This window comes from Homo sapiens, chromosome 14 (assembly GCF_000001405.40).
Source record: "Homo sapiens chromosome 14, GRCh38.p14 Primary Assembly".
Taxonomy (NCBI): domain Eukaryota; kingdom Metazoa; phylum Chordata; class Mammalia; order Primates; family Hominidae; genus Homo; species Homo sapiens.
The window spans coordinates 76,696,897-76,709,202 of NC_000014.9; positions in this window are offsets into that span (position 1 = coordinate 76,696,897).

Sequence of the window (12,306 nt, forward strand, 5' to 3'; positions counted from 1 at the left end):
TTTAGCCTCAGGGTGACCTGTGGGCCCTGCTCAGATGTAGGCAAACAGAAGCTCTTGTGGTAAGGCCCAGAGTCTGTCACTTTTAAAAGCTGTTCAGGTGAGACAGAGGCTCAGCTAGGCTTAGGGTGACTAACTATCCTGGTTTGTTTGGGACTGTGGGGTTTCTTGGGAGGTAGCAAAGCCCTGGGCAAACTGGAATGAGCTGGTCTCCCAGGTAGGAGGTTCAGACGTGACTCGAGCATCAGGCTCTTCTCAGGACGTTCAGCTCTCTGTGCCTGGGAACCTTTCAGTACCCAACAGTGTCTGACACACGAGGTGCTCAGTAAGTAGAGAGAAATGTGCCTTGCACCTGGAGCTCAACAAACGAACAATTTTCTTCAGCTTTAGGCTCAACTGGAAAATAGTCTTCAGGGGCCTTGAACATGGGGTGCAGGTGAGTGTCAGTGGGCACAGCCCTGATCTTGCTCTGCCCTACCCCACACCGCTCATCCTCAGAAACCAGTCTGGATTAGGGACAACCCGGTGGCTGGGGTCAGCTGGCAGGCAGCCAGGCAGGGTTCTGCTCCCCAGAGACCGGTAAGTGATCCCTGCTCTTCCCAGCCATGCCTAAGCCATATGCACCCCCAAGAAGCCTCAAAGAGTGGGCAATGTCCATGAAGTCTGGGCTCTTGGTGAACACTGGTCACCAAGCATTCACCAAGATGTTCATACAGATAGGGAAATGAGTCCCATCGAAGACAATTTGCATATGTTGTTTGTAAAAGAAGGAAATGACATCTTTGCCCAATGAATATGCTGCAGATATATTTTCCCAGGCAGTCCTTGGTCTTTGGACTATGTATGGTATTTTTTTCCCACAGTGATGTTTAAAATTTTTTTATGAGTCATGTACTATATCAATCTCCTTTCTTTGGGGTTTTATGCCCTGCTGAGAAAGCTTCCCCCACTTCTTGATTTCTTCTAGAACTTTCACAAATTTTGGGGAGTACAAAAGGTAGGTTAGGGATCTAGTATTTCTTTCCCCCCAGTTAGGCCCAGATAGGAGAGATGACTTCTCCAAAGTCAGAGTGGGTCTGGTGTCTGCTAGGATGAGGGTGCCCCATCCAGACCTCATCTCCCTGTCACTACCCCAAGTCTGCATAAAGATCTCTTCTTTAACCAGTCTCTTCAGAAGGCCTTAAAAGAGTAACTGTTTTCACAACTTGCCTTCATGTATCCTTTCTTGAGTTACAGTCACTCATGCGTGAGGCTTTCCTCGTCCTTACTCTGAGACTGTGTTCATCTTTGAGGCTCCCACCTACCCACAATACCCTGCGCAGTGCTCTGTATATCATTCATATTTGGGAATTAGACTGAGATATATGCCCCCAGCTGGCAGTGTGAAGGCCCTTGGATTTCCAAAATGCAGAGGCAAGGGATTTGGTGGGCTAAGTGAGTGTAGGCCCCTCTGTTCCTTAAGATCCCATGTCATGGCAGGGACTGGGGTACCCACTCAAGTGTGCCCTCGGTGTTCCCTTCCCTTCTCGCACTGGGTGGTATGAAGCAGCTGCTGGGTTCACAGGATATGGGGCGTGATCTGTGGAGGAACACAGAGGAGGGAGTAGATAGGAAGGGAAATTCAGCTCCTGTGCCTGATCTTGGGCCTTCTCCCATCAGCCCACCTCTTGGGTGTATTTCTTGGACCACAGGACCAGAATGGCCGAAACTGAAGAAAAGCAATTGATATGGTTTGGCTCTATATCCCCATCCAAATCTCATGACAAACTGTAATCCCCAAAGTTGGGGGAGGGACATGGTGGGAGGTGATTGGATCATTGGGGTGAATTTCTCCCTTGCTGTTCTCATGATAGTGAGTTCTCACAAGGTCTGGTTGTATAAAAGTGTGTAGCACTTCCCCCTTCGCTCTCTCTCTCCTGCCAGCCATGTGAAGACCATGCCTGCTTCCCCTTTGCCTTCTACCATGATTGTGAGTTTCCTAAGGCCTCCCCAGCCACGCTTCCTGTACAGCCTGTGGAACTGTGAGTCAATTAAACCTCTTCTCTTTATACATTACCCACTCACAGGTAGTTCTTGATAGCAATGTGAGAACGGACTAACACAGCAGTAGAAGAGCTGAATAAGGAAGGGCTCTTTCCATTTTGTGAGCCTTAAGAAACTAGAATCTGCCTTGTTCTTTGGGGTATAAACTTGAAATCCTAAGCCCCCCCATTGACTGAATGGATCCCCTTGTGGCCAAGGGGACCCCATTAAAACCTTAAAACTGACTTCCTGGCCATGACGGGACAGAAGATCAGACACCTCGTTACACCCCCTCCCTCTTCTGGTTTAGACACAACAACTGACAAGCCTTAATGTTAAAACAGAGATTCTAAAACTGACAGAACAGATTCTTTGTGGCAATAAGGTATCAAATTATAAACAGAACCTAAGGCCATGCCAGGCAAAGGTTAAGTCACCCACTCCTACACTTATAGAATAAACTATGTCCCAACTGCCACAAGGTTTTTCTTTTTCTCTAGCAGCTAAACTAGAGCGCTGGCCTTGAGATAAGCAATATTAAAACAATTACAGTTCATCCAGCTCACAGAGGCTAACTACCTGACCCTTGTTCCACAAGCCGTAACTACAGCTTTGACTGGACAAGAGACTGATTTCAGTAACTTTCTCCAGATAAGACCACCAACCATGGACTGGTTCTGGCCAGTTTACAGAGACTGCACACTTGCATGTTTCTGGATCCTGAAAAGACCTTCTGATGTATAGGGCCTAATCATAATACGTTTAAAAGTTATGTCCCCACCCCAAAGTGGGTCATATGTTACATGCATGTTCGTTCAATGCACATGCATCAGGATTGCCTCATGAATATTCACAGCTCCTCCTGTAACCTGTTGAATATGTATGTTTAGCCAACCTGTTCAGCATAAAGCTCCTACCCCAAGCCTTCCTCCTTCGAAATGCCTGTCTCTGGTCTTGTCCAGAGGCACCCTTTCCAGCCTGCTGTACCCCCGTTATAAGAAATAAACTCTTCTCTCCTTTCTGCATTTATAAATCTTGTGTGTGGTTTTCTTCTTAAAGTTAACAGGGATAATTATATCCCAGCCCTCAAGGCCAACACAAGCAGCTGCCAACATTTCAGAATGCTTGGGGAATGCAATGTCCTGGCAAATTGAAGATCTGTATGAATGGAGTGGCCCAGCTTACTCAGAGTGACTTGCTCACTTATCCACTCAACAAAGCATTGGAGAATGCCTGCCGGGTGCCTGACTCCATGTACTGTTCTAGGTGCTGAAATGCAGCAGTAAAAGAGGGAGATTGTTGGCTGCTTTGGTGGAACCTACTTTCTAATAGAGGGAGAGAGAAGACAAATCAATCAAGAATGCACATGAAAATATCAGACACTGATAAATGCCACTGAGGAAGTAAACGGAAGGCCGCACCTGGGGAGCCACACTGCTGGGTGGTCAGGAAGGAAGGGACATTTTAACAGAGATTGAGTGATGAGGACTCACCTCGTGAAGACCTGGAGGAAGAGCAAGTGGAGCAGCCGACACAGCTGGGGCAAAAACCCTACAGCAGGGATGAGCTCAGTATCTCAGAGGCGCTGCCTCCGACAGAAAAGAATAACAGCACATCCCCCGAGTTTCTAGAGGTTTCAACCAAATTTTGTTCTTTTGAAGACTCAGGTTTTATCTTTAAAATGAAAGCAAATTTTGGGTTCCAGTCTTTGAGACAACCATATTTATTTTTGTGTTAAACCTATCTGTCTTTAAAAAAAAAAGAGAGAGAGAATATACTTGGATTGAGGTAAGCCAAGATTAAACTTCTAAAAGGTAACATCCCATAGTCCAGAGAAATCTGACGCAAGGTAGCTAGATGCCATTTCATCCTCGTGTTTATCGTTCACCTGGCAGTGACAGAATCTGGGCCTCCAGTAAGTCCAAGTCCAATTCTCAAGAACACATGACAAGATCTGACTTGGGTGGGACAGGAAACCTCCTTGGTGGGTTATTTCCTCCATTCCCCCAACCTTAGATCCTGCACAACACACATTATCAGCAGGTTTGTTCCTGAACCCCAGGACCATGACTCAAGGCCATGAACAACTTAACCCAAGCAATCTAGGAATCCTGGCCTGTGCGGTGTGCCACATCACCTGGTCAGATCATCTCCTCATCAGATGACTGGTATGGCCTGAATTGTGTCACCCTCGCATTTATACACTAATGTCCTAATCCCCAGTACCTTAGAATATGGCCGAATTTGGAAGTAGGGCCTTTAAAGAGATGATTAAGATTAAATGAGATCATGTGGTGGGCCCTACTCCAGTATGACTGGTGTCCTTATAAGAAAGGAAGAGCGACCAGGGATGTTCACTCACAGAGGAAAGGCCATCTACAAGCCAAGGACAGAGGCCTTGGAAAAAACCAAAACTGCTGACACCTCGATCTTGGACTTCTAGCCTCCAGAACTGTGAGTAAATTTCTGTTGTTTAAGTCATCCAGTCTGTGGTATCGTGTTACAGCAGCCCTGCCAGATTAATACAATAACCCAACAAGAGCCCAAGGTGAGGGGACTCCAGGGAATGGGCACCCCAAAAGTAAAGTTTTAGAGTTTCCTTTCCCAAAGTTTTCTCCACCCGAGATAGAGTGGTCACTGGTTGGCTTCCTTCCTCATACCTTTAGAACTCACCACGGGCCAGCTCCATGTCCCCAGCTGGGCACTGTGTCTCTGACTCAATCCATTCCTTTCCCAGCCCTCAGGATCCTGTGCTAATGAAGGCATCATCAGCTTCAGCCACGCTTTTGTTCTCTACACCATCCCTTCAAAGATGGAGGTTGGGGCAAGGACCCCTCCCTGGAACCAGGCCAAAGGTTCAGTATTGGAAAAGCATTGATTCTTTCCCCATAGTCCTTAAATATTCTTTTTACAAAGACTACACCAGATTAAAACAGTTCCGTGGCACAATCTCTACAGGTCTGTTAATTCAGGACAGAGCTCTGGAATTAATGGCCAAGAACAAGAACCAGCTTTATTATAACTGCATCAATTCCAACAACATGTGCTGGGTAAATATTACCTCCAACAAGGTCCAAACTAGCCTATAGCCAAATGCAGCTTATAACCATGATTTTCCCTATACTTCTTCCTCCTAGCAAGATTTGGACTTCTCTCTTGATGAATCAGGCCTCTAGGTCATACATCCAACTGGAGAAGCCAGAAGTAACATCATCTTGGCCAAAACCAACAAGTCCACCTCCCAGTTGTCCCTCCTCTGGGAAACCGCCCATTTGGCTCTGCAGCCAGCACTGCCTTCGTGGCATGTGGTGTAATGGATGTAACCAGGACAGTGTGTACCAAAGCTGAGAAAAGTCTCCATGTATGACACCAAGGCCAAAAAGGAAAAGTATGCCAGCGTCTGGTTCAAAAGTGGAGAAATGAGACAAACCTGTCTGATGACCCAACTGTACATCCCATCCAATCTATGAGTCCAGCTATGGTGACTGGAGCCACTACGATGTTTATTCTTATAGCGACATGTGAGGAAGGTAACAGGAGTATCAGGCGAGGGAAAGGGTGAGGCTCCTTGGGACTAAGCACACTCATATTTGTTGGTTTGTTTGCTGAGTGTGTGTTTGCTTGTGTCTTTATTTTACGCAGAGGGCATTCCTCAAATGCTGGGTGACCTTGGCTGTCTGTTCATATTTAAGAGTGAGACATCAAAAGTTGATTGCCACCTGCAACCCAGCAACTCCACTCCTAGGTTAATGCCCAGGAGACATGCATACAAATATGCACCAAAGGATACACACAAGAATTCCCGTAGCAGCTCTGTAATAGCACACCACTCAAAACTACCCACAAGTCCATCAACAGTAGATGGGATAAATAAATTGTAGCATATAAACACAACGGGATTCAATACAGCACTGAGAATGAACAATCTATAACTACATGCAACAATATGAATGAGTCTTACAAAAATTACGCTGAATAAAATAAGTCAGAACCAAAAAGCATACATGCTATGTGATTCCATTTATTTAAAGACAAAACATGCAAATCATTAATGTGCAAGATGAGAAGTCAAGATAGTGGTTGTCCTTCGGTGGAGATAGTACACATTACACTTATATAAAGCAGATGCTAGAGGGAAAGCAACGAAAAATAGAGAAAAATACCTATAGGGAGAATTAAACGCACCATTCTCAGTAGGAGACAGGTCAAATGGACAAAAATTAAGCATATATGTCAAAATCTAAACAACCTAATCAACAAGATGAGTGCTTAAAATATTTTTTTAATTTATTTTTTGAGACACAGTCTCGCTCTGTTGCCCAAGCTGGAGTGCAGTGGTGCGATCTTGGCTCACTGCAACCTCCGCCTCCCGGGTTCAAGTGATTCTCCTGCCTCAGCCTCCTGAGTAGCTGGGGTTATAGGCACCTACCACCACACCTGGCTAATTTTTGTATTATTAGTAGAGACAGGGTTTCACCATGTTAGTCAGGCTGGCCTCAAACTCCTGACCTCGTGTGATCTGCCCACCTTGGCCTCCCAAATTAAAATCATTGCATCCTGATTTAAGCACACGAAAACACATACACGTTGGGATTCTGATTGGAAGGGTATTACATTTATATGTTAACTTTAGAAGAGTTTATATTTTTATGTCATTTCATCCATGAATATGGAATGTCTCTCCATTTGTTAGTATAGAAAAAAGCTATTGATTTTTGTACATTTATCTTACACATAGCCACTTTACAAAATTCTATTATTAATTTTAATCGTTATTAATTCTACTAATTTGCTATTAGACTGGGTTTTCAATTCTACCAGACCAGAAAAAGAAAATATGATTTTTCCTTCTTTGGTAATACTCATACAGATTATTTCATTTCTTTTCTTATTTCATTCGTAAGGACTTCCAAAAAATGTTCAACATTAGCAGTGATAACAGGCAAACTTGTCTTATTCTTTATATTAAAAGAATGATTCTCTCAGGCACTGCTCAGAACCAAAGGAGCCTGTCTCCTTTAGCCACCATGCACAGGCATTTACCAAGGTCCTGACAATCACAGCCCCTCATTCCAGGAGCCTGCAGATACCCTGGAGATGGGGTCACTAGGCGGGCTTGAAAACCCCAGGCTCTCTCCACTCTTTCTTTTCTTTCCTTTGCTTCCCTTTTCTCTTTTTCTTTTCCTTTCTTTTCTTTTTCCTCCCTCCTTTCTTTTTTTTCTTTCTTTCTTCTTTTTCATTTTTTTTTTTTATTTTTAAGAGACAAGGTCTTGCTCTGTCACCCAGGCTGCAGTGCAGAGGCACCATCACAGCTCACTGCAGCTTTGAACATCTCCCAGGCTCAAGCAATCCTTCTGCCTCAGCCTCCCACGTAGCTGGGACTGGCTGGGCACCATGGCTCGTGCCTGTAATCCCAGCACTTTGGGAGGCCGAGAAGGGCGGATCACTTGAGGTCAGGAATTCAGATCAGCTTGACTAACATGGTGAAACCCCGTCTCTACTAAAAATACAAACAATTAGCCAGGCATGGTGGCGCAGGTCTGTAATCTCAGCTACTCGGGAAGCTGAGGCGGGAGACTTGCTTGAGCTTGAGAGGCGGAGGTTGCAGTGAGCTGAGATTGCACCACTGCCCTCCAGCCTGAGGCGACAAAGCGAAAAAGCAAGACACTGTCTCAGAAAAACAAACAAAAAACAAGTAGCTGGGACTACAGGCACCACCATGCTCAACTAATTTTTTGTTTATTTACTTTTTGTAGAGATCGGGATAGCTCTGTGTTGCCCACACCAGTCTCGAACTCCTGGCATCAAGTGATCCTCCCCCCTCAGCCTCCCAAAGTGCTGGGATTACGGGCGGGAGCCACCGTGCCCAGCCTCTCTACTCCTTTGTCACTTCTCTCTGGCTGCCACCACCTTGCCCTGGAGTTATTTCAGCACTCTCCTAACTGGCTTCCCCTTGTCTCCTCTGGCCCCTCCTTGTCCCTTGTGCAGTCTGTCCAGCACACTGCCGCCAGAGTGAGATTTCAAAATGCAAATCTTTTTTTTTTTTTTTTTTTTTTTTTTGGAGACAGAGTCTCACTCTGTTGCCCAGGCTGGAATGAAGCGGCAAGATCTCGGCTCACTACAACCTCCATCTCCCGGGTTCAAGTGATTCTCCTGCCTCAGCCTCCCAAGTAGCTGTGACTACAGGCAGCCGCCACCATGCCTGGCTAATTTTTATATTTTTAGTAGACATGGGGTTTTGCCATGTTGGCCAGGCTGGTCTCGAACTCCTGACCTCAAGTGATCTGCCTGGCTCAGCCTCCCAAAGTGCTGGGATTACAGGTGTGAACACTGCGCCCGGCCTCAAAATGCAAATCTGATCGTGTACCTCTTCTTGCCTCCCACCCTTCTAGGATGCAGGTTATACAACGCTGTGAACTGGCCCCTTCCTGACCCTCCAGCTTCATCTCATCCGCTCTCCCTCCCTCTCAGAAGAACTAACTGGTCCTCTTTCGTTCCCTGGATACACCCTGCTCCTGCTGTCTCAGCACTATGCACCTGCTTTTATTTCTGCCTGGAACACCCAACCATATGTGGATGGGTACACACACACACACATCTTCCCTGCTAACTCACATGGATCACCAGTGTCACTGACTCCCTAGATGTATATGACATAGTCATGTATCACTTGATGTGTATGACATAGTCATGTATCACTTGATGTGTATATGACATAGTCATGTATCACTTCATGTTCTGAGAAATACGTTAAGCAATTTTGTCATCGTGTGAGCATCATGGAGTGCACTTACACAAACCTAGTGCCTACAACACACCTCGGCTATACGGTCCTTTTGCTCCTAGGCTGCAAACCTGTGCAGCATGTTACTGTACTGAATACTGTAGGCATTTGTGTATCTAAACATATCTAAACATAGGACAAGTACAATAAAAACAGTATAAAAGAGAAAAAATGGTTCATCTGTATAGGGCACTTACTATGAAGGTATGTCCGGAATTGGTGGGTTCTTGGTCTCACTGACTTCAAGAATGAAGCCGCGGACCCTCGCGGTGAGTGTTAAGAGTTCTTACAGGCGGCGTGTCCGGAGTTTGTTCCTTCTGATGTTCAGATGTGTTCAGAGTTTCTTTCTTCTGGTGGGATCATGGTCTCGTTGGCTCAGGAGTGAAGCTGCAGACCTTCGCGGTGAGTGTTAACAGCTCTTAAGGCGGCGGGTCCGGAGTTGTTCTTTCCTGCTGGTGGGTTAGTGGTCTCCCTGGCTTCAGGAGAGAAGCTGCAGACCTTTACGGTGAGTGTTATAGCTCACAAATGCAGTGTGAACCCAAAAACTAAGCAGTAGCAAGATTTATTGCAAAAAGCAAAAGAACAAAGCTCCCACAGAATGAAAAGCGAGCAGAGCCAGTTGCCACTGCTGCCTCAGGCAGCCTGCTTTTATTCTCTTATCTGGCCCACCCACATCCTGCTGATTGGTCCATTTTACAGAGAGCTGATTAGTCTGTTTTACAGACAGCTGATTGGTCCATTTTGACAGGGTGCTGATTGGTGGGTTTACCATCCCTGAGCTAGACAGAAAAGTTCTCCACGTCTCCAATAGATTAGCTAGATACAGAGTGTCCATTGGTGTATTTACAAACCCTGAGCTAGATACTGAGTGCTGATTGGTGCATTCACAATCCCTTAGCTAGACATAAAGATTCTCCAAGTCCCAAGATTAGCTAGACACAGCGCCTGATTGGTGCATTCATAAACCCTGAGCTAGACACAAGGTGCTGATTGGTGTGTTTACAAACCTTGAGCTAGATACAGAGTGCTAATTTGTGTATTTACAATCCCTTAGCTAGACATAAAGATTCTTCAAGTCCCCACTAGACTCAGGAGCCCAGCTGGTTTCACCTAGTGAATCAGCTGAGGCCCAGTGAGAATTTGAGCGCGGTGCCGGCAAGCCGGCACTGCTGGGGAACGCAGCGCACCCTCCGCAGCTGCTAGCCCTGGTGCTAAGCCCCTCACTGCCCCGCGCAGGCGGCACCAGCCGGCCGCTCCCAGTGCAGGGCCCTCCAAGCCCACGCCTACCCGGAACTCGGGCTGGCCCGCCAGCGCCGCATGCAGCCCCGGTTCCCCCCCCCACGCCTCTCCCTCCACACCTCCTGGCAAGCAAAGGGTGCCGGCTCCGGCCTCAGCCAAGCCCAAAGAGGGGCTCCCACAGTGCAACGGTGAGTGACGGGCTCCTCAAGCGCCCCGAGGCTGAGGAGGCACCGAGAGCGAGTGAGGGCTGCTAGTACCGTTGTCACCTCTCAAAGGGAGCTTGCGGGCCTGGAAGTTGCTCTGGGTGAGTCTGTGAGTGAGTGGTGGGTGAATGCGAAGGCCTAAGACATGACTCCTGAAAACTTCATAAGCACCGTACACTTAGGCTACACTAAATCTGTTTTTAGAAACATTTTTCTTTCTTCAATAATAAATTAACCTCTGCCAGGCGCGGTGGCTCACGCCTGTAATCCTAGCACTTTGGGAGGCTGAAGCGGGGGGATCACCTGAGGTCAGGAGTTCGAGACCAGCCTGGCCAACATGGTGAAACCCCATCTCTACTAAAAATACAAAAATTAGCCAGGCATGGTGGCAGATGCCTATAATCCCAGCTACCTGGGAGGCTGAGGCAGGAGAATCACTTGAACCCGGGGGCGGAGGTTGCAGTGAGCCGAGATCACACCACTTCACTTCAGCCTGGGCAAAAGAGCGAAACTCTATCTCAAAATAATCAACCCAGCTTACTGTAACTTTTTTTACCATATAAACTTTTTTTATTTTTTTAACTTTTTGACTCTTGAAATAACACTTAGCTTAAACTCAAACACACTGTACATCTGTACAAAACGTTTTCTTAGAATGAAGACACGAACACACACATTACACACGTTAGGGTCAGGATCACCAGTATCACTGTCTTCTACCTCCACATCTTGTCCCACTGTCTTCAGGGGCAATAACACACATGGAGCTGTCCTCCTATGATAACAGTGACTTCTGGAATACCTCCTGAAGGACCTGCCTAAGGCCATTTTACAGTTAACTTTTTTATTTTGTAAGTAGAAGAAATACATTCTAAAATGACAATGAAAAGTATAGTATAGTAAATACACAAAGGAGTCATATAGTCATTTGTTATTAAGTATATTATGCACTGTATGTAATTGTATGTGCTAGACGTTTATAAGCCTGGCAGCGCAGTAGGTTAGTTTACATCAGCATGACCGCAAACCTGTGAGTAATGCATTGAGCTATGACGTTGCCACAGCTATGACCTCACTAGGCTATGTAATTCAGCTCCACTGCAATCTTATGAGACCACTGTTGTATCTGCAGGCTGTGGTTGACCAAAACATTGCTATGCAATGCACGGCTGTATAATTACTTGTTCAATGTCTTCATCGCTAGACTGTAAATTCCACCAGGGTAGGGACTGTGTTCCTACCACCTTTAGCCCCAGCACCCAGCACAGGGCCTGGCCTCTGGGAAATGTTCGATAATTACTTTTTATTCTATTTTATTTGAGACCAAGTCTCGCTCTGTTGCCCAGGCTGGAGTGCAGTGGTGCGATCTTGGCTCACAAGCGCTCTGCCTCCTGGGTTCAAGTGATTCTCCTGCCTCAGCCTCCTGAGTAGCTGGGATTACAGGCACATGCCACCACGCCTGGCTAATTTTTTTGTATTTTTAGTACAGACGGGGTTTCACCAAGTTGGCCAAGCTGGTCATGAACTCCTGGCCTCAGGTGATCTACCCACTTTGGCCTCCGAAAGTGCTAGGATTACAGGCATGAACCACAGTGCCCAGCCAATTATTTTAAATTAATAATCAGTTAACAAACCAGTAATTATCAGCCTTTTATATTTTATAATCCACCAATTTCTATTTTATTCCCCTAAGCTGTAGGTGCCTTTTATTCTTGTTTTTCAAGAAGGAGTTTTGCCTGGGCACATAACATTGTACACTGGTTCCTGGGCTCAAGGTTGGGTGCTACCACTTGGCTCAAGGCTGGGTGCTACCACTCTTATGCGTCCCCTGCCAAAGCCTCTGTCATGTTGTGCAGTTTCCCGTACACTTTGCCAGCCAGGACTAGACTGTCTATTGATATTTTTCTCTCTCCCTGATTCACCACCACGAGGCTCTGGGTGGGGAACCATGAAAGGGATGCGACTTTGAAGAGCCCTCAGAATGCCACATTGGTTCCCCTGTCGCCGTACACACTCGCCTCCAGCGGTGCCTCCAGACCACCCTGCCACTGCTTTTTTTCT